The sequence below is a fragment of the Homo sapiens genome, chromosome 5 (genome assembly GCF_000001405.40).
Source record: "Homo sapiens chromosome 5, GRCh38.p14 Primary Assembly".
NCBI lineage: Eukaryota > Metazoa > Chordata > Mammalia > Primates > Hominidae > Homo > Homo sapiens.
This window is the reverse complement of record NC_000005.10, coordinates 149,140,802-149,163,291: the sequence shown is the minus strand read 5'-3', so window position 1 is coordinate 149,163,291 and position 22,490 is coordinate 149,140,802. Positions and strand designations below refer to the sequence as shown.

Here is a 22,490-nt window from a genome sequence, read left to right as displayed (position 1 = left end):
GTCCCAGCCCCATCATCTGCTGCTTAGAGGATCCCAACATGTTGTAAGGAGTGGTCTCCTTTCCTCACTCATTCTACACACAGTAGCCAGGGGGATACATTCAAAATGCAATCTGATGATGCTTAACCCGGACTCCCACCACCTCCAGTGGCAACTTAAAACCATTCAATGACTTCACTCCACCCTTGGGATAAAGCCAGACTCCTGGCCATGGTCCACAAGGCCCTGTGTGTTCTGGCCCCTGTTGGCCTGCCCAGCCTGTCGCAGACCCTGCTCCCCTCCGGCAGGAGAAAGCAGCCTCACTGGCCTCCTTTCTTTTCCAATGCATCCTGCTCCCTCTCCACACTGGGAGATTCCCACTCCAAAACAGACACGCCAGAGATGCTTCCTGTTCAGCTGGGTTACGCGTCCTAGAAAACACATTTTGAGGCAGGTGGCTTTCAGCAGGGAGAAGTCCTGCCTGCTCATGCCCCACTGCCCTGGTCAGGTTAGCCATCAGGAGAAACTGTCTAAGCAGCAGCTGAAAAGTGTCAAAAGCATTGAGTGAGGGGACTGGCAAAAAAATGAGGCCTACGGAGGGGCACACAGGATGTTCTTCCCAATCTAGATACTGATGAATCCTGGTGACAGCACCATTCATCTGGGAGTTGTAAAAGGAACTGAAAGGTGAAATTGTGGGTCTGTCGGCCAAAATGAGTCACCTGCTCTGACGGGCATGATGAAAGGTTTCTTTCTTTCTGGTCTGGATTGCTCACGCCCTTCCAGACACAAAGAGAAGAAGCAAAGCCTCTATCCTATGGTCACTATTCTGTGTCTCTTTTGATCATCATTTAGTTGTAGAGACTATGCTTTTGGAATGAGATACTGAAACACATGAAGGGATGCATGGCCTAACAGTGGGATGAAATATTTTGAAATTAAGACAATTGTATATGAGGACACTAGACCCACAATGAACTGAGTCTTTTTACCTTGCCCCATTTACCTATAACCCCAATAAAGCTGTGTTTGTCTTGTGCTCAATTTCTGTGTCGAGTTGTATTAAATTTTAATGATTGAAAGAAACACAGCCAGCAACCAAAAGTAATAAAAAAAGCAATTCAAATCTTTTCTGGCTTTATTCTCAAAGAACAGTCAAGGGAGGAAGGCATCTGTTTAATAACCAGCAAAACAGAGGCTAACGCAAAGGCTTTCTCATTCATTGCCTCATTTGATCATCACCAACCACGAATCAGGTGAGGCAAGGATCACTCCGGCTATTTTATAGATGAGCAAACTGAGGCTTGGGGAATTGGGGAATGTGCCCAAACTTCAACACAGGTGTTCTGACTCCTAGTTCAGTAAGCTTTCTTTTCTCTATAGGCGCACACACACACACATACACATACACACACACACACAGCCCACGCATACACACACACACACAAAGTAGACCCCTTTCTACCATTCTGTGCCCTAAAATATTGGCTTTTTTCCTTGGTACTAATGGCAGAAAAAATGACTATTACAATTAAATTCAAGAAACCCCAAGAGATTCATTAACATTTGATTCCCAAACCCCAGCTAAGTGTGGCATTCAAACAGGAAAGGAAAAAATATCAAAGGAACACACAACGATTTTCACTTGCTCAGCCTCTCTAAGCTAGATTAATGCCTCAAAAAAGAAATACTGCCAGAATACCCCTCTTCTAACCAAAGAGGCACTCTGTCCCCAGTCGACTCCAGGAATCCTGGTACAATAATTAACGTGTGGGCCAGAGGCCCAAACTCACTGGCACAGGGCAGATTTTCAGATGAGAAACAGAGAAGCTCCAAATCCTACTCACATAAAGGGCTTATTGACATTATCTGCTGAAAAGAATACAGATTTCAAGAGAGACAGCCAGGCAGAGAGGGAAGGCAGAATTTTGGCCATGGAGGAAGTAGGTGGAGGGAAGGGTGGACTTCTCACCTAGCTCGGAGTCCCTAAGTCTTTCCCGGATCATTCTCTAAGTGTGTACCCTCAAGTGGACTTTGCTACTGGCTAAGGAGCATTTCCCATAGCACTGATGTCACAGACCCAAAACAATCCAGGTCAGCAAACACTTTCCACTGTAAACAGAAGGTTTCAGAGAGCTCCCGCGGGCAGATGAGCTGTGGGTGATGCCCAGGTGCCCTGGGCTAGAGGACAGGCTCCGGACCTGGGACTAACTCAAAGGACAGAAATGGCCTGGGTGAGGGCAGCCACATCCACACCCGGAAAACCCAAGAAAGAAGGTGGTCTGATTATTGGGAAGAGATAGAGGGAGGGGATTAGGGCTAAGAAGCCCCATGGCTGGCCGAGAGATGGGAAAGGAGCTGAATAAGATGATATGAACACGGGCATTCATTCTACTCGCTCTTGGGCCCACTGCTGGGCCTGGGATGAGGAGGGCCCTGGAGATGGAGGACAATTCCCCCATGTTAGACAGTTAGCCTGTGTGTACTTCAGATTCTTCCCAGCCTGGAGGTGCACACAGAACCCCCAGCTTACAGCCCAACAGATGGGCCATCAAGTATAGCCATAACTAGAAAGTGTCTCTGTCTTCCAAAGCACAGGATGTCCTAAGCCTTTCCTGAGTCCCTTGACACAAAAAGCTTTTCCTGAGTGAGCACACTACAGTGACACCAACTTTAACCTGGGGTCATTTTTTGGCACCCACCATGCCCTAGGGAAGACCTGGCTCCAAGCAGAAAGTCCCAAATCAGCACAAGTAGGTTACAAAGTTTATAAACCAAAGTTCATGTTTGTTGGCACAATTATTTATTCATCAATATTTACTGAGTAATTTCCTTCTTTTTTTTTTTTTTTGAGACGGAGTCTCACTCACTCTGTCGCCCAGACTAGAGTGCAGATGTGCAATCTTGGCTCAGTGCAACCTCCACCTCCCCAGTTTAAGTGATTCCCTGTGTCAGCCTCTTGAGTAGCTGTGATTACAGGCGTGCACCAACATGCCTGGCTAATTTTTGTAATTTTTTTTAGTAGAGACGGGGTTTTACCATGTTGGCCAGGCTGGTCTCGAACTCCTGACCTCAAGCGATCCACCCACGTTGGCCTTCCAAAGTGCTGAGATTACAAGTGTGAGCCACTGTTCCTAGCCTTACTGGGTAATTTCTATGTGCTAAGAACTGGGGATACTCCAGTGAATAAAACAGTCTTGTTTGCTAATGTTTGCTATGCTTTGGGAGTTTATCATTCTGTGGGAAGGGTCTGTGACAAGTAAACAGATATTTACAAAGTGTGACAAGTAGAATGAAGGAAATAAATAAGGGGTGGGGACAGGTAATCTAAAGGTAAAACATTTCAGCTGAGACTACAAGGATGGGAGAGGGCTGTTTGTGGAAAACCAGGGATAAGTACAAATGAGATGGAGAAACAGCATTTGCAAGGAAGGGTCCAGAGGCTAGAAAGCACATGGTGAGTTTAGGGAGGCCAGTGCAGCTAGAACATCAGGGCCAGGGAGATGCTTGCACAAAATAAGTTGGAGAGGAGGTTCTTGAGCTGTACGACGCTTAAAGGTTTACCAAAAATTTTTACAGGTGTTACATAGTTGAAACAGCTCTTTGAGGTAAGCAAGGCTGATAGGATGGAGCCATAGAACTGATAAGGATACTGGCCTCAGAGGTCACAGAGTTAGCAGGAGAGCTGAGATCTCAAGTTAGTTCTTCTGTTTGCAAGCCTATTCTATCTAAGGGAATAGGTATATACACACATACTCTGTTTAAGGGGATACACGCATATATGTTTAAATTGGGCATGATTTGCAATTAATGAAACATATAGATTTTAAATACAATAAGTTTTGACAAATGTATAGCCCACAACAGTTTAATCAAGATAAGGTATATTTCTATCACTCTAGATAATTTGCTGCAACCTTTTGCAATCAATCACCCCTCCCCCAGTCAAAGGCAAACTCTGTTATAATTTCTGTCCACATAGATTAGTTTTGCCTTCTTGAATTCCATATAAATGGAATCATACAGTATGCCCTCATTTATGTGTGATTTCTTTTACTCAGCATGTTTCTGAGATTCATTCATGTTTTGGCATGTGTCAATAGTTTGTTCCTTTTTATTGCTGAATAGTATGCCATTGTGTAAATATAATCACAGATTGTTTATCCATTTGTCTATATATAAACATTTGGGTTGTTTCCAGCTTTGGATTATTTTGAATCAAGCTGACAGCAACATTCTTGCATAAATCTTTTTGCAGATATATGTTTTTATCGTTCACAGGGAAATATCTAGGAGAGGCATTGCTGGATCATAGGTAGGTGTATGTTGAATTTTTATAAAACTGTATCAGTTTTCCATAGTTGTTGTGCCATTTTACATTTTCACCAGAATTTTAGCCATTTGGGAGGCTGTAAAAAGGTGGTTTTAATTTGCATTTAACATGACTAATGATGTTAAGCTCCTTTTTATGTGCTTATTAACCATTTGTACATGTGATGTGTCTGTTAGAATTCTTGCCCATTTTTACAAATTTTAGTGTTCTGGGAAGTCATTGCCTCCCTTGAGGTTGTAAGATATTCTCCTACATTTTCTTGCAGAAGCTGTGTAATTTTAGCTTTTGGTTTATTTAGGTCAGTGATCTATCCTGGATTAATTTTAGTGTATTGGTATTGATCTTGTAACAGTACTAGTGATGGTTGACTAGACTTGTCAAGTATAAGGACTTCTTATTTTTATTTTATTTTTTACTTTTTATTGTGGCATAACTTGCATAGAGTCAAGTATATAAATCTTAAATATACAGCTCAAAGTGTTTTACATATATATACAACCATGCAACCACATTTAGATCATTTGAGGATTCCTTTTTTAACATAAAAAATATTTGTTATCCTCTGTATATTAGTATTACATTTAAGTAATACTTACATGTTAGCTTTCTGCCATATTAACTTTTTTCAAACACATTCATTTGACAGGCATTATGCATTTGAATTAGGAGCACACATGGATTTGTAAGCTCCAGCAATAATTCCATGGCTCCACAGTGATCTTTGGCTTGCAGTTGGGGAACAAATACATTATACCCCATAGACACGTGATTTCTATCTTCAAGGAGTTTATAATCTGAAAGAGGGCACTAAGAAATGCACATGAATAAATTATGTTGACTCACAGCAAATGACCTGTAATTATAAGAATGTTTTAAACTAAGGGCCAAGGACTTCAGAGGAGGGAATAAAATCACTTCAGGAGTGAATGAGAGGTAGCAGGGTGGAAGAATATTTAAGCCTAAAGATGGCTGGGCTGTTGATAAATAAGAGGTCATTATAAGGGCAACTGCCAACTGGAAATAATGCTTTTTAAAAAGTGCCTTTGTTGGTACCCTTTCAGTTGTACTTTACAGAAACCTAGTGGAAACCAGTTTAAGCAAAAAGAGAGTTTGTTGGTTCTTGCAACTGGGAAGTCTGGGGTCTGAGGTGGCTCTGCCTTCAGGTATGGCTGGATTAGGGGCTTTCCTATACGGTCAGAGCTAAGACTTTATTTTGCAGATGGCTTCTTCATGTTTGACAATCATGGCCACTGGTATTCCCACACTCTTTTCTCCTTAGCTCAGCAATCTCAATGGAATAAACACTTCTTCTTCTGAATATCTCCCTATCCAATTCCAGGGAATACTCTGATTGGCCTGTCTTGGGTTTAATTTCCACTGATGAGCAAATCCTTGTGGCCAAGGTGGATGGGAAACTCTGATTGGCTAGCATAAGTCATATGTCATTCTCAGGGGCGGGGGGTGGGGGACAGAACACCATGGTGACAGTCCATTAGTATGACAAGGAGATGGAGAGAAATTCTTATAAAGAATCAGAAGGAGGAAGGATAAAACATGCTGAGCAGACACCCTGGCTATCATATTAGGCTACAAGGCATGTGGGCTGTGAGTAGGAAATGTGAATCGGGAGCAAAGGGGGAGGATTTGCTCCGCATACTGAAGTGTTGGCATGGAATATTGTCCTGTATGTTCCTTCCCAAATGTGAAAGTCTCTGGTCTGAGTATCATTCTCTGCCTCTGAAGAACTGTGTACTCTGCAGATCCCAGGGCAGCCTGTGCAGCTTGTCATTTAATGGCCACTTGAGAAGACTCATATAATATCAGAGTGTGAGTTAATGAGGTGTGCTGACTATGAAGGCAACACAAAGAATGGAACGCTTTCTGGTCCTCTCTGTGTCTATTCCCAATGACCTTCTCTATCTTATTTGAAGTAACACCCCTTGTGATTACAGAGATAAACTAAATTAGAAGGATTGAACATTTCTTTGTCATCATTTTGGACTAGAATCTCAGACTAGAATCTCAAAGTTGCAAAAGACCTTCGAGGTCATTTAGTATAGGGGTCAGCAAACCGGCTCACGGGCCAAATCACCCTTCACCTTTATTCTTCTAAATACATTTCGATTGGTACACAGCTCTACCCATTTCTTTACACATTGTCTATGGCTGCTTTCATGCCACAGAGACTGTGTGGCTTGCAAATCCCTTTACAGGAAAGGTTTGCCAGTCCCTGGACTAATGTGACATGTTCCCTGCTTAATCAGAATTGCCCTCTCCAACATTCATTTCACACCTGACTCATGCCAAGAACTGAAAGAGATAATACAGGCAAAATGTTTGCATAGGGTCTTACATGTAATAAGTGCTCCTTAAATGTTAGCTTAAAAAGTCCTGTGTTACCAATATATATACCACTCTTCTTTCCTAGTGGAATGACCAAGTGGTGACTACATCATAACAATAGCATGTGTTGGTTATTTTGTATCTTTAAAAGGGGTTTTCCCAAAATAGTACATTCAAATGTGTTCCATTACTTATCACTATTAATCATTACTGAGTATTTTCCATGTGCCAGGCACTGTGCTAAGCATCTCACATATATTCACTCACTTAAAGTTCACCTATCATCCCCATCTTAAGAGGAACCTGACGTTTGGGGGTCTGGTAAAAAGCAACTCTCTGAAGGCGGCACAGCTAATAAGGGTCAAGCTGGAATTTGGACCCAGGCAGTCTGATTCTATAGCTCAACTTCTTATCAAATATACGATCTAGCCTTCTCAGTTTGGTCAATAACCTAGTTTTCAAAGTACCAGTTTTCACAGTCCCAGGTATTAGAATATACAGCAAGCCCACCCATGGGCATAGTTGCAGAAATGCACAGCTTGGCTGCAGAACAACTGGGAGCTCATTCTCCCTGCATCCCCACACTCTCCCTCGCATCCACTCACAACTGCATTGCTGCACTAGGTCTGCCTCTCACTGCCTCCAGGCCCTCTGATGCATGAGGTATGTGTTGCTGGGGAGATCTTCCTAAATAATGCACAGCTCTGGGCAGGTCACTACTGGGCTCCAAACCTCTCCTGACTCCTCATTGGCTGTAGATTGTAACAAATACTGTTTAGCGTGGCATCTGACCCTCTCAAAGAGCTGATCCTCACCAACTCCCAGCGTTTTCTCAGTGTCCACATACTCATATTCTCTAGCGTATACAAACTGGACTTCCTAACAGTTCCCGATGAGGGCTTTCTGTCTTTTTATTTCGGTCTCCATCCCAGTACCCAGACAAAGGCCCAGGACTCAGGAATTGTGCATTAGGGTGTGTGGAATGCCTGCCTAGGAATGAGTAAGCCCATCTAGACTGCTCTTTCTTTTCCTTCAACCCTACACAACATAAGTTTGTTCCCTGCCCCAAGGACCAGATTGAATGGAACCTTCTCCAACAAGCATTCCCAGGCCTTCCAGAGGAATTTGGCCTGTCTTCCTCTGTACTCTTTCCTTCCCTCTCAGCACCCGCCATGGTTTATCTCACATCACAGTCATGCATGCTTCTGTCTGCCCCTCCAAGATGCTGGATGGAAGCAGTCTGAGGTCCAGTTCTCTGTCCTGTGCATCATTGATTTCATGGTGCCTAGAATATGGAATGTCACTGTCTCACAGCGTGAAGATTTGTTTCACTGCCCGAGTGAATGAGTGAATAGTGCTGGGGCATCCAACGGGAAGATCAGCCATCCCAATCCATGTTTCCCCTGGAGATCTCCATCACAGTAAAAATACAAAAAGATGGTAAAAAGGAGGAGCAGGGAGGAGGGAAAGGAGGCCTCAGGGTCAGACCAACACAGTTTAAACATCTGCTCCTCTGCTTCCTAGCTCATGTGACTTTATCCAGGCAATTTACCTTTGAATCTCATTTTCCTTTTATGTAAAATGAGGATATTGAAGTATTCCTCATTAAATGAATCCATCCACATATTCACTCAAGGCTCCATCACTTTTCTTAACTTTGTGATTTGGAGCCAAATATCTCTTCTCTGGGCTTCAATTTCCTTCTTTGTAAAATGAGAACAATGTCAGTGTCCTCTTTCTAGGACTCTTGTGAAGCGTAAGTGGGCTCATTCATGTGTCCAAGAAATGCTTTTATAAGTGATCATCACTCTGCATCAAACACCATGTTGAGTGTGCAGGACTCAGCAGTGAACAAAACAGACAGGGTTTGTCACACAATCATCATGTGGCTTATAGTCAAAGGAGGATGAGAGAAAGAAACAAAGAAAATGAGCTAATGAACAAAATAATCACTGACTATGGTAAGCTCTGTGAAGAATAGTGAGAGCAAATATAACATGGGGATATTCCCTAGACACAGAATTCAAGGAAGGCCCATGTAAGATTGTTGTAAGGATTAAATAAAATAATAGATGTAAAACATTTGCACTCAGGCTGCAGTTGGAAAAGAGTCTCTGGATTAGGAGGAGGAGGAGAAAACATTAGTCTGAGTCTAAGGAATTTCTGATGGGGATTGAGCTTCAGTTCCTGAAATGCTGCCTCTCAAGTTCCTTCTCCCTACATGTAACAGGCCCAGGCTCTGTCTCTGCCAGTTGAAAGGGGGATTTATAATCACCTGAGGTTCCTGCACCATATAATGCTAACATCACAGGCAACTCTCTTTCGAGAACAACTCATGCTGACTGTGAAAAATATCTAATTTTATGGTTGCTTTAGACTATCACCAGACGGGCAGGGCTGGGATCCCTGGGCTGTTTCCCCATATCTCAAAACATAGGAATAGACCTTGGGCTGCCCCTGCTGCTGCAAGCTGAGCGTGACTTGCAGCGGGAAGATTGGCACTTGATAGAGTGTGCTTCAGGTGCTTAAAATAGATCAGCTGTGTCATTAGACTATTGCAAAGCAGTTGCTTCATCGGCCCTGCTGGCCTGGTGAGGGCAAGAGTAACAGCCCATGGAGAAAGATCTGTGCTTTGCACAAAATTAAGCAGATGTGAGGACGAAGCTTTGGAAATGATAGAGGCACTAGAGAGTAGCATTCTGCTGCGAGAGAAGGTGGGGCTGTAGCACAGGCACACAAACAGCCACCACAGCCCCTGGGAACAGCAGGGCGGCATGTGGAGCCTGTATGTTCTCCTTGTCTGTCTGGTGACACCCTTAGAAAAAAGGCCTAAGAGATGTTTAGGGAGCCAGGTGAAACCTAATCTGAAATCACTGAGGGACCATCCATACTCTCAGGCAGACACAAAACCAACATGTGGAGCTGCCTGGCGTCTTCCTACTGTTCCTTCAACATCCTCTCCCCAGCATGTTTCAAGTCCTTCCACTGTTCCGGTCACTCATTTCTGGGAATATACGGGCTGATCACTGTCTTCCCTGAATATAATGTTTCAAACAGAGCCTGATCAGGGTCTGCAGAGTGGGACTCTCACCTCCTGTCCATATGGCCTGAAATCACATTTTTTCCTGTAGGCCGTACTGCTCAGTTGCCTCTTTCTGAACTTGAGACCAACTCCTGCTCCCCTAACCTCTTCCTCCAATGGCTGCCATGCCTGGTGTAGGAGACATTAGGGAGTGATGGTCATTGAGGAGGGGAAGAGTTCAAGTCATGTTTGGGAGGTAGAAATGACCAGATGTGGTGACAGATGGAACACAGGAGAGTGGAGGAAAGGGAAGTGTCTCAGAAGACTGCTTTCTAATCACTGACTTATGACTGGGTAGATAGAGGTTCTATAGATCAACCAGGACTGTAAGAGCTAAGGTAGGCTTTTTGCTTTTGTTTTCTTAAGAGAGTAAATTTATTAAATTTTGAAGTGCCTTGGGAATATTCTAGTAGCCATCTTAGCAGATGATCAGAAAGATGACCCTAGAGCTTAGGAAAGAGATCTTTATCTATCTTTATCCTGGGGCTTATTAGAGAGAGTGGGCTTTTCATGAATGCGTTAACTCATCAATTATCTTTTGAGTACCTACTATGTGCCAGACACTGTGCTTTGCTTTCTGTGAATTATTTGCTACCTTGATTTCTTCCTGAGGAATAAGGAAGAATCTGCCCTAAACAGAAGAAATTATGTTGGCATGATCTACTTTCTCAAGCAGGAGGACTCTATAATGACAGAGGAAAGGTTGTGAGTAGCCACATGCAATCATTGTTGTGGCCTTTCAGCAGTCATCCCTTAGCTGGGTGGGTAATCAAACTCACCCAACCCATACAGAGCTCATGCTGTTGACTAGATGTTCTCAACTGGACCAGGCATGTCCCGTATGTCAGAACATTCTCTGGAACAGTTCAGCCTCCTCAGACGCCCTCTTTTGGGCTAGAAAAGGTACCCAGATCTGGGATCAGTTATCCAGAATTGCCCTCCTTTGTTCTGTGTCCTACTCTCTTTTACTAGGTTCTCTGAAAACAAAACTGACCTCCAGGAGGTCAGGGCAGGATATTGTTTGCCCTGTTATTTGCCTAACTGTATCCAACAGGATATGACATCACCCTTCTGGGAATGGGTCAGTTGGGGGAATAAGGACATGTGGCAGGGTTTTGCTCACTTCATGAGGACATTAATATCATGGCAATGTTAATCAATTGCTAACTTCAGACAGGATTTTCTCCCATAATCATTAACAGATGTGCTGCAGCTTCCACATCTCTGTGTGAAGAATCACTTCTACATATTTGATGTTTTATGGATCATCTACTGGACTGCAGTGGCAAGGTGACATAAAAATATTAAGCTGTCACTGTGTAATTTAATAGGAAGTGATAATTGTGGCAAGCCAGAAACTAAGTATATACCCCATCCAAAGCAGGCAATCCTATTGATTGCTGTTAGGAAGAAAAATTGGGTCAGGGCTGCAAAATCCTCCGACTTCATTTTGTTTTTAAGAGAGCCAGAAATCCCACTTCTGATTTCCCAATTTCCCATTGTTGGCAAATAATTCAAATTCACTAAAAACCTGGTGTAGGGCAAATAAGACGTGTCCCTTTACATTGGCCACCAGGAGGCACATTTTGCCCAGCTGTGTGACCCATGATTTTAAAGGCCACATTGGTTCTATTTACTGTTGTATCTCCAGCATTATGCTTAGTGCAGAGCTGGTGTCCAGTAAATACCTGATGAATAAACAAATGAACAATCCAATTCTTATTCCCTGTGTTGGACAGGCCCAGGAACTAGGAAGATTGGAAACGAATGTCATGACTAACTTCCCTTACACTATTGAAACACCACAGTTGTAAGAAATGACCAGGTGGGGTGGAAAGTGTGGCAAACAGACTGGCTGTGGACATACTAAATTACTGGGGTCTTCCCATGTGGGGACCTCCTATGTAAGAGCACTTCCCTTCAGATTCTTAGGAAGAGAGGGTCTACCTCCATGGGTCAGGGATAGCAAAATGAGGGTTTAAACATCAAGACTAGATAGATAAACTTAGTGACTTGCATTTAGTAACCAACTGTTAGCATCTCACGCTAGTGTGGACAGTGGCTGACATTCAGGGGAAACCAAAACACAAGAAAATCTCCTTGAGGAGTCATTTCCTTAACAAACACTCTATTATGGATTGAATTGTGTCCCCACAAACTCATATTTGAGGCCCTACCCCTCAGTACCTCAGAATATAACCGTATTTGGCAATAGAGTCTTTACAGGGATAAACAAGTTAAAATGAAATCATTAGATGGGTCCTAATCCAATGTGACGGGTGTCCCTGTGGAAGGGGGAATCTGGACACAGAGAAACACATGGATAAAGGTGATGTGAAAAGACTCAGGGAGAAAGGCAGCCATCTCCAAGCAAAGGAGAGGCCTCGAGTAGACATTTGTCTCGCAGCTTTCAGAAGGAACCCTGCTAACACCTTCGTTTTGGACTTTTAGCCACCAGAGCTATAAAACAATACATTTCTGTTGTTTAAACCACCCGGTTTGTAGCACTTTGGTGCAGTAGCCCTAGCAAACTAATATATACTATTTATTTCAGAAACCTTTGTTATGTGCCATGCACTGTTTTAAGGAATTCACAACTAACTTATTTATTCTTTATATCTCTTCTCTGACAGAGGCACTATTATTTGCCTCCTTGTAATTATCATTAGAGATGAGGAAGTGAGGCACAGAGAAGGTAAGTGACTTGCCTAAGGATACACAGAAAGTACAAGCAGGGCTAGAATTTGAGTCCAGCAACCTAACTTCAGTCTGTGCCCTTAAGAACTGCAAAGGAAGAATTTATCTGGCAAAATACCCAGAAAGTCGAAGGTGTTCAGATACTTCTGGTTGTTTTCTGTACTTTTACAATGGTTTCTGCCTAAAGTTGGGTAATAGCCAGTTGTTGACCGTTCACCACAGCAGATGCTATCTCAGCAAGATAAAGCTTTTGCCAGATAGGAAAGCTGGAGTTCAGAATTGATATCACTTCCTTTACGCAATCCAAGTGCTCTTGAAATCACGTTGTGATTTTTCTGAGATGTGTTATAGTCATTTTGGGTGATTTTAAAATTGTTCCTTACGTTATTCCTCTAACCCCTTCTTAGCCTCAGGTAATCATCTGTCAACAACTGCTTCATTCATTTGGGAAGTACTGTTTTAAAACAATCTCTATCCTTGTGGAGTAAATAATCACTTCTACTTTATCTGTTTTGCAGATGTAGAATTTCTAGAGAGGGCATCCTACTGCGTTCTTGTGTGTCAGGATCCTGTCTTCAGGGATCCTTAGATTTCTTGATCTGGGCAATGGCATTAGCAGAGGAAGGTCATCATGCCCCGTGTGCTGGGTGTCTTCTATTCTGAACTCCCTCACCTCTCCAGATCCGTTCTGCCTGCTTCCCTACTCTGGACTGTGCCCTGGGAAGCTGCTGACCATTATGAACCTATCAAATGCCTTCCTTGCCCTCTGGCTCCTGATTGGATTTGACCAATGGGAGGTACCCATAGGAGATCTGAGGGAGAGAGAAGAGGAGGATCAGGATATTTATCCTCCTAGTTCTTTCCTTGGAACTAGGCTGGCTGCCTTCCTGGGGCCACAGCCACAGTTCCTGTCAGGCAGCCTTCACCCCATAGCCAGCTGGGTCTCTGGGTCCAGCTAGGGGCAGTTGTGGTAGCAGTGGGTCATGAGCCACAGTTACTAGGCTCCTGGTACTGGGTCATGCTTGCTTCTCTTTGTTTGTTTCTTAATGTCCTTCTCACACACTTGTGAAGAGTCCTTCCATTTAACTCCTCTCAAACTGCCAATCTGTTCTCTGCCAAGACCCTACCTAATAGAATCCTCCTTTTCCTCTTTGCCTTATAAAACAATCAGTGGCTAGGCCATGCAGTCTTTATTTTCTAAAAGATTTTTCCCCTTATTTCTAGTTTTATAACCATCCAAATTTTGGCCCGAGACGTTTTCTGAACTAGGACAATTGGGATCCTAACTTCCTGTCTTCCCTTTTTCAACCCATGCCATATACAATGCCAGGTTAATAAGCTTCCTGTAGGCTTCCCGGGAGCTATGAGTTTCCTATGTAGAAAATCCATCACCTACTGTAATACCAGAAGAACAGACTAATTTTTAATCAGAGGATTTAGTTTTAATGACACCATCTTTCCAGAACTTTGCTTTACTCAACAGTCAACTCAACTTCAGACTCAACTCCATTCACTGAGACCCAATGCCTGTGAGTTTCTAATGTTATTTCGCTGAATCCTTAGAAGAACCCTGCACCTTGGCATTTATTGCTCATATTTTATACATGGTAAAATTTAGCTCAGAGACATGATCTATTCTGTCCAAGACCACAGAGAGAGTACATGATAGATCTTGAGTTTGAACTCGAGAATCCATACCCCAAAGCTCAGGTTCTTGCTGTCCCAGCATGGTCTCTACTTATCCCATGACATCTTTGTGGGAGTTATTTGACCCTTCAATACTCTCTTCAACAGAACAAAGTCTACTCTAAAAAAGTAATTTGTTAGCATACAAATCCATGGTAAAGACCAACAAAGGGGCTAGAGGCAGGAGGAAGCCTATAAAATGAGTAGGAGCAGTATGTGGTACCATTGATCTTGGTGCACTTGATGCTCTGGAGGGTGAGGAGGCCAGCCTTGGTGAAGTGTGAAGTGTGGGGCTGGGCAGAGGGGCTGGTGCTAGTGGGGAAAGGGCTTTCTCGGCAGAAGGAACCATGCATGTAAAGTCAGCAGGAGCAAACCCTTAGAGGGAATGGGAGAAGGCACATGTGACAAGGACACTGAGAACTGTGCACTGTAGACAAGATGGGGCTGGTCAGCAAGGCCAGGAGCAGGCCACATCGGGCCTTACAGGCTTGCTGAGGAGTTTCCTTTCTCACCCTGGGAGCATGGGAGCCTCACTTTAAGCAGAGTGTGATACAGAGTAGGGATGCGGCCGATCGCTGAAGGGGGCTGGCATGGATGAAAGGAGGCCAGTTAGAGGCTGCCTCAGTAGGTCAGGAGACAAATGAGAGATCCTTGGAATAGGTTGAGAGTTCATGAGAGAAAGAAAGGCTGGATGTTGGATCTACCCTACAGAAGACAAAGTGGCAATGATTGGCCAGTTTCCCTCCTTTCCTCTGAAGTCCTTCAGCGAAGCGAGTGTACTGACTCAGTATGAGCCCAGGCCTTTCCAAGCCTGGGGTGTCCTGCTCACATGTTTGGTGTCTATTTTCTCCTGAATAAGGACCAGACCCCACCTGCTGTGCTCTACCTAGGTCTGCCCACCACCTCACTCCAGCATCTCCAAAATTACCCCTTTCTTAATATTCAGCTAGATTTCAGAAGAAAGGATTCTAATGAAACTAAAATTCACTCTGAAGAGCCACTGACTAAGCATGCTCTTGTTTTTGTAATCTAAGCATTTTTTTATTAGTAAAAACAATTTACAAATGTTTATAAAACATCTCCTCATAATCCCATTTAATCCTTAAAAAATCACACTTCAGGTGTGCTTCTCAATTCATGAGAAGGATGTGACTGAAGTCTGAGAGGTTGCGTGACCTGCTTGCTAGTGTCATAAAATCCACAATGACAGCCACAATGATGCCCACAGTGATCATGACAGTGTGACCACCCATCACTGACATGATGCCAGCTGTGCCCACAGCCAAGGTACCACACTCTGCATACTACACTAAACATTAACATTTGGTTTCCATTCCCAGCTGAGGTATGCCTCATCATTTTCATTTTTTGCTCATGAGACAACCATACTGAAGACCACACATCTAACACATAAAAAAATGAGAACTGGAACCTGGAACAGTCTGATTCCAGGGCCTGCACTCTATCAACTCTTATCACTGCTCAAAGACCACAGCCCTGTGCTCCTCTTCTCCAGATAAAGTGATTAGGAATTTCTTATACAGATGACCCTTGAACAACATAGGTTTGAATAGTGTAGGTCCACTTACACAGATCTTTTTCAACTAAAGGCAGATTGAAAATACAGTATTTACACAAAATGAAAAAAGAAAATGACAGGCTAATATTCCTGATGAACATAGATGCAAAAATCCTCAACAGAATACTACCAAATCAAATCCAGCAGAACACCAAGAAGTTAATTCACCATATCAAGTAGGGTTTATTCTCAGGATGCAAGGTTGGTTCAATATACACAAATCAATAAATTGATTCGCCACATAAACGGAATGAAAAACAAAAAAATATGATTATCTCAAAAGATATGGAAAAAGCTTTTGCTAAAATCCAACACCCCTTCATGATAAAAACTATGACTTCAGTGAAGTCTCAGGATACAAAATTAATGTACAAAAATTAGTAGCATTTCTATACACCTATAACACTGAAGCTGAGAGCCAAATCAAGAACATAATCCCATTTACAAGAGACATGCACACACACACACACACACACACATACACAGAGAGCGAGCAAGCGAGCGAGAGAGAGAGAGAGAGAGAAAGAGAGAGAGAAACCCTAGGAATATATGTAACCAAGGAGGTGAAAGATCTCTTCGAGGAGAACTACAAAACACCACTGAAATAAATCAGAGATGACACAAACAAATGAAAAAACATTCCATGCTCATGGATTGGAAGAATCAATATCATTAAAACAGCCATACTGCCCAAAGCAATTTATAGATTCAATGCTATTCCTATCAAACTAGCAACATCATTTTTTACAGAATTAGAAAAACAATTCTAAAATTCATGTGAACTCATAAAAGCGCCCAAATTATCAAAACAATCCTAAGCAAAAAGAACAAAGCTGGAGGCATCACATTACCTGACTTCAAACTATATTATAAGGCTACAGTAACCAAAACAGCATGGTACTGCTACAAAAACAGACATATAGACCAATGGAACAGAATAGAGAACCCAGAAATAAAGCCACATACCTACAGCCATCTGATCTTTGACAAAGCTGACAAAATTAAGCAATGGAGTAAAGACTCCCTATTCAATAAATGGTGCTGGGACAGTTGGCTAACCACATGCAGAAAAATGAAACTGGACCCTTACCTTTCACCATATACAAAAATTAACTCAAGATGGATGAAAGATTTAACTGTAAGACCTCAAACTATAAGAATTCTAGAAGAAAACCTAGGAAACACCATTCTGGATATTGGCTTTGGGGAAGAACTTATGACTAAGTCCTTGCAAGCAATTGTAACAAAAACAAAAATCGACAACTGGGACCTAATTAAACTAAAGAGTTTCTGCACTGCAAAAGATACTATCAACAGAGTAAACAGACAACTTACAGAATGAGAGAAAATATTTGAAAGCTATGCATCTGACAAAGGACCAATATCCAGAATCTATAAGGAACTTAAACAATTCAACAAGCAAAACAAAAACAAACCCCACGCCCCCAAAAACCATTAAAAAGTGGGCAAAAGACATGAACAGACACTTTTCAAAAGAAGACATAGAAGTGGGCTGGGCACAGTGGCTCATGCCTATAATCCCAGAACTTTAGGAGGCTGAAGCATTTGAGACCAGAAGTTTGAGATCAGCCTGGGCAACATGGCAAAACCCCATATCTACCAAAATAAACATACAAAACTTAACTGGGCCTGGTGGCACCCACCTGCGGTCCTAGCTACTCAGGAGGCTGAGGTGGGAGGATCGCTTGAGCTTGGGAGGCTGAGCCTACAGTGTTCCATGTTTGTTACACTGAACATCAGCCTGGACAACAGAGCCAGACCTTATCTCAAAAAAAAAAAGACATACACGTGGCGAATAAATATGAAAAAATAAAAATGCTCAACATCACTAATAATCAGAGAAATGCAAATCCAAACCACAATGAGATACCATCTCACACCAGTCAGAATGGCAATTATTAAAAAGTCAAAAAACAACAGATGCTGGCAAGGCTGCAAAGAAAAAGGGATGCTTTTACATTGTTGATGGGAATGTAAATTAGTTCAGCCACTGTGGAAAGCAATTTGGAGAATTCTCAAAGAACTTAAAACAGAAATACCATTTGACCTAGCAATCCCATTACTGGATATATATCCAAAAGAAAATAAGTCATCCTGCCAAAAGGATACACACACTGATATGTTCATTGCAGCACTATTCACAATAATAAAGATACGGAATCAACCTAGGTGTTTATCAACAGTGTACTGGGTAAAGAAAATGTAGTACATTTATACCATGGAATACTATGCATCCATAAAAAAGGACAAAATCATGTCCTTTGCAGCAACATAGATGCAACTGTAAGGCATTATCCTAAGCAAATTAATTCAGGAACATAAAACCAAATACTGCATATTCTCACTTATAAGTGGGAGCTAAACATTAAGTACTCATGGACATAAAGATGGCAAAAATAGACACTGGGCACTACTAGAGGGGGAAGGGAGGGAGGAGAGCAAGAGTTGAAAAACTAACTATTGGGTACTATGCTCAGTACCTGGGTCATGGAATCAAGTGTATCTCAAAGCTCAGCATCATGCAATATACCCATGTAACAAAACCTGCACATGTACCTTCTGAATCTAAAATAAAAGTTGAAATTTAAAAAAATACAGTATTTGCAGAATTTGAAACCTGCCTACACTGAGGGCTGACTCTTTGTATAAGCAGGTTCCACAGGGCTGACTGCAGGACTTAGTATGCACAGTTTTACCAATCCCCATGTGTACAAAGGGATGATTGTAATCTCATGCTTTGCCTCTATTTCAGTGTTGACATTTGAATCATTGATTAGGAGTTGTACTCAGTGTCAAATGTGTTACACATCCAAGTACCTTTCATAACCCAACAATTAACTGCATGACTTGAAGAAGCCACTGAGCATTAACTACAACGTTTCTGAACACAGCTTCAAATTTTCACCCATAAAATGAGTAAAAACACCCATCTCACAGGTTGGGTGGGACAGTCTGGTGAGCTCAATCAGGGGAGTGCTTAGCATGGTGGCTGGTGGAGAATAAGGACTAAATAAATAGAAGTGAAAGAAAAACTAAGCAAGAGTTTCTATTAGGGACAATATCAGGCATGAGGATCAAGTTAAGAATTTCACATCTCAAAGGGGAGCTTTTTTGCTTAGTCAGGTGACCCAAGGACCTCCTGCCAATGCCCTATCCATATCACCCTATGGCTCTGTTACTCCTTTTCTTGTGAGGTCTGATGTCTACTCTCTGCATTTGCAGACTCGTGGGTTTGGGAGGTACCTCCATGATGATGGAGTTAAGCCCTCAAAGCTCTGTGCTTGCTGTGTCCCCCAGGTGTCTGTTTAGAGAAGCACTTCCTCCTGGGGGGAACCCGGAGGGCTTCCAAGGCTGCTGAGCCATTCTCCTCTGTTCATTTTCCATTACTGCAAAATTCACACACTCTCCCTGCTTATAAAAAGTAGTGGCATTTTTGCCAGTCCTCATATTCTGCAGTATCCAACTCTATTGATTCTTTTTTCTTTTCTTTCTTTCTTTTTCTTAAAAGAAGGATAGTCTGTTTCCTTCTTTCAGGAATACTCAGTGTTACTAATAGGACAAGAGTTCCTTAGCATTCCAGAGAGAGAAAAGGGCAGAGTCAGTTGCCTGTTTCTTTTCTTAGTTCCTTGAAAAATAGATGAGCCATCTTTCTTTTCTGTCACTTAGTGGGAAAGGACTCTCATAAATACATTTTTTTTTCCTAGAGATAGTGAGAAGTGACAGGCAACTCACATCTTTATTTGCCTGAAAACATGCAAATGCAAACATGTGACCCACTAGCTGATAGAGGCTACAGGATTTTCCTCTTTTCCTGAGCCTGGTATGAAGCCAAAACACCATTCCAGCCTGTCAAAATCAAAAGGCAAAATTCTTTGGCTGTAAGAGGCAGAGGGAGTCCAGCCACACTCGCTAGCTTAGCATAGATATGCAATACACAAAGGAAGACAGCAGAGAGATGAATCATACAAATACGTAGTAAATAAATATATTTTATTTTCATCTCAGTAGCTTTTGCTTTTTTTTTTCTCTTCCATGCTAGGAGGTGGGGGTGGGGTGGGGTGTGTGAGGAAATAGTAGGTTTTGGCTGGATACAGCTTCAATAAGGTCTTGATAGTTCTGGCCTTGTTGCTCAGCTCTAGCTTTTTAAGAAAAAAAGTGTAGATTCTTAGATTAGAAGGCTTTCTTTTATTATTATTATTATTATTTTTTGAGACAGAGTCTCACTCTGTCGCCCAGGCTGGAGTGCAGTGGTGTGATCTCGGCTCACTGCAACCTCTGCCTCCCAGGTTCAAGCAATTCTCCTGCCTCAGCCTCTTGAGTAGCTGGGATTACAGGCCCACACCACCACACCTGGCTAATTTTTGTGTTTTTAGTAGAGACGGGGTTTCATCATGTTGGTCAGGCTGGTCTCGAACTCCTGACCTCGTGATCCACCTGCCTCTGCCTCCCAAAGTGCTGGGATTACAGGCATGGAACACGGTGCCTGGCCGATTAGAAGGCTTTCTAATTCAACCCCTCTCATCATACAGATGAGCAGTCTGAGATGCAGAGAGGGGACTGATAACAAAGTCATAGACCCAGGGAAGTGACTGTTCATAGGGGTTCTCTGGTTCAACAGCCCTATGCGATGCTGGAATAACCTAGACAGGCCAAGCTGACAAGAGGGCAGGAGAGTGAGTCTGGAACCAAGATATGCCCTCCCAGGTCACAGCGCTACATTGAAGAGAAACAGACTGTGCCTTCTTGAATTTCGGACTGCATTCTCAGTAGCTGAGGCCCTACCTGGCAGCAAAATATCTGGTCCTGGCTCTGCAAGCAGTTGTTGCCTCTGGCATGTTAGAGCCCTTGGCCAAAGGGCTGTTCCTGTCTTCTTGTTCTCAAGGATAGCTAACCAGCCTGCAGGTACATAGAGAAACCAGCCCTGGGCCCACCGGGCTGCAGGCACTCGGGAGCTGGATCTTTCACAATCTCCAGACCCAAAGGTGGCTTGGCGATTATTTGTTTATCAAACTGCGGCTTCCCAGCCCACTGCCTGCCCACACCCACCTACCCTCCCGCCTGCCCACAGGCCAGCCTCCCTGCTCTTCCCACCTCTGGGACAGGCAGGGCCCTCCATGGTTTTCCAGATGTGTGCAGGGAGTTCTCCTCAGAGCCCCCACAGTCAGACAATGGCCACACACTGCTTCCTAGGCCTTCCCAGGCAGTGCTAGAAGGAGACGAGCAGCCTTCCCAGGAGAGGCGGCCGGCGCCGCTGATAAAATATTGGCAAAATTATCACGAAAAGCCAGAGTCATGAAGCTATCCCTCTGCCAAGGAGCACGGAAAGCACCAAAAAAGAGCCTGGGGGTCATGTGTCCAGAGATGCCAGGCTTCCTTCCTCTTTCCAGGCAGCCCGAGCGCAGGCTCCCTCACCTCCCGCCCCCACCCCTGTTCCCATGGCAAAGGAGAGGAGGATCCACTTACTGCTAGTGTTCATGGTGATGTCTTTGCACTGGGTCTTTCATTCAATACGGAGGCCCCGGCTGCTTTTTAAATCTTCCGTTCTTCGAACCTCACTCATCACCTGGGGGGTGAAAAGGCAGTCCAGTGCCAGCTCTGTATCCTCAGGTGCTCTCTCTCCCTCTGCTGTCCCCTCTCTGTCTGGGCTGTAGCCCCTGGCCTTGAAGGCGCGTGGACTAATAGGCGCAGGTGAGAGCAAGGAGAAGGAGGCGGCAGGACACCGGCGCCCCGGTCCTCCTGCTCCTCAGATTGGAATCCCGGGCAGAAGTGGGGTTGGCAGCGCCTGCTCGCGCGCACCCCGGACTATTCCTGCCCAGCGGCTCCGGAGCCCAAAGGGGGTGTGGACCACAGGGAGGCAGGGCGGGGGCAGCGCGTCCCCGCCCGGCTTCAAGGAGCAGCGACCCGCCCCGGAACCCACCTCTCGGCCAGTGTCGGGAGCCAGAGGCCCCTGCCCCGGCCCCTGCGACTGATTTCATGAATCCTGGTCCTCGTCTGGGGTCTCGAATTCCAGGGCTAGCAATGCGAAATAGGGGAGCTCGACATCCATGATGCGGGCTCGCGGGTTGGCAGCGCAGGGGGCGCGGCCGCTCGCTGCTGCCACCTGCTGGACGCACCGGCGCGTGTCCGAGGCCCCGCCCCGCCGGGCTTCTGCCTGGGCCCTAGGGTGTGATGGGAGATGGACGAGGCCTTGTGAGATGGACGAGGCCTTGTGTCCTGGGACCAACGAGGGAGTGCTTGAGCGCTTGTTTTCCCTCCCTCGATCCTGGGGTTCTAAGGGCTCGACAATGATAGGAAAAGAAACATCATTAGGAGGGGCCGTGAAGGAAAACCTGGCTTTGCAGGAAGACAGTTTCCACCCGGCTCTGCTCTGGCAAGCTTGGCGCAGTCTAGGCTCAAGCCGGTCACTACCGTCTCTGCCTCATCTTTCTCAACTATGAATATGGCGTCTGGACAAGTGGATAACACGTAAGGGGCTCTTCCAGCCTCCCAGCGTTTATGTCCCCTCTTCCCTCACAGATTCCCTTTATCCTCTATCGCTGATTCATCATTAGAATTGTTTATTACCTCTTTTCCCCACGAGAATGTTAGCTCCGTGAAAGAATGGGTCTGTCCGTAGGGTTCACCTACAGGCCCCCAATACCTAGCACAGGGCCCGGCATATAGTGGCTACCAATAAATATTTGTTGACAGAGCAACCCAGACATTTTCTGGGTTTAATATTACACAGCCCTAAGAGTAGACTGCCTAGGCGCCCCACCCTGAAACACTTC

The 22,490-nt window shown here is 44.0% G+C and overlaps 1 protein-coding gene and 1 long non-coding RNA gene across 15 annotated transcripts in view, besides 5 other annotated features; both read right to left on the bottom strand.

The window, feature by feature from the left end:
* ABLIM3 (actin binding LIM protein family member 3) overlaps positions 1–21,799 on the bottom strand; it is a 119,050-nt gene extending 97,251 nt beyond the window's left edge. For 8 of the 14 annotated variants that reach the window (NM_014945.5, NM_001301018.3, NM_001345858.2 and 5 more), the window contains exons 1-2: positions 21,638–21,799; positions 21,184–21,283 (exon numbers count right to left, since the gene is read on the bottom strand). In NM_014945.5, coding sequence (NP_055760.1) covers positions 21,184–21,196 — 13 coding nt within the window. In that variant the 5' untranslated portion in view covers positions 21,197–21,283; positions 21,638–21,799. Of the gene's footprint in view, positions 1–21,183; positions 21,562–21,637 lie in introns of those variants that run through there. The other 6 variants (XM_024446004.2, NM_001301015.3, NM_001370417.1 and 3 more) reach the window with 1 other exon arrangement.
* Positions 15,868–16,037: an enhancer, noted in NCBI's record as "experimental_82053 CRE fragment used in MPRA reporter constructs". NCBI's record gives its function as "activates a minimal promoter by MPRAs in K562 erythroleukemia cells, with activity observed for the non-introgressed 5:148526903 variant allele {active_cell/tissue: K562}" and the evidence as "EXISTENCE:reporter gene assay evidence [ECO:0000049][PMID:34662402]".
* Positions 17,131–17,300: an enhancer, noted in NCBI's record as "experimental_82052 CRE fragment used in MPRA reporter constructs". NCBI's record gives its function as "activates a minimal promoter by MPRAs in K562 erythroleukemia cells, with activity observed for the introgressed 5:148525640 variant allele {active_cell/tissue: K562}" and the evidence as "EXISTENCE:reporter gene assay evidence [ECO:0000049][PMID:34662402]".
* Positions 19,694–21,176, bottom strand: LOC124901102 (uncharacterized). The gene is made up of 2 exons (XR_007058988.1): positions 20,503–21,176; positions 19,694–19,859 (listed from the first exon to the last, which is right to left on the bottom strand). It is a non-coding gene; the product is annotated as an uncharacterized LOC124901102 (long non-coding RNA).
* Positions 20,377–20,876: an enhancer, noted in NCBI's record as "H3K4me1 hESC enhancer chr5:148521979-148522478 (GRCh37/hg19 assembly coordinates)". NCBI's record gives its function as "activates a minimal SCP1, AML or CMV promoter by ChIP-STARR-seq in primed H9 embryonic stem cells {active_cell/tissue: H9 hESC(primed)}" and the evidence as "EXISTENCE:reporter gene assay evidence [ECO:0000049][PMID:30033119]".
* Positions 20,877–21,378: an enhancer, noted in NCBI's record as "H3K4me1 hESC enhancer chr5:148521477-148521978 (GRCh37/hg19 assembly coordinates)". NCBI's record gives its function as "activates a minimal SCP1, AML or CMV promoter by ChIP-STARR-seq in primed H9 embryonic stem cells {active_cell/tissue: H9 hESC(primed)}" and the evidence as "EXISTENCE:reporter gene assay evidence [ECO:0000049][PMID:30033119]".
* Positions 21,684–21,933: a silencer, noted in NCBI's record as "silent region_16493". NCBI's record gives its function as "represses an Ori minimal core promoter by ATAC-STARR-seq in GM12878 lymphoblastoid cells {active_cell/tissue: GM12878}" and the evidence as "EXISTENCE:reporter gene assay evidence [ECO:0000049][PMID:35858748]".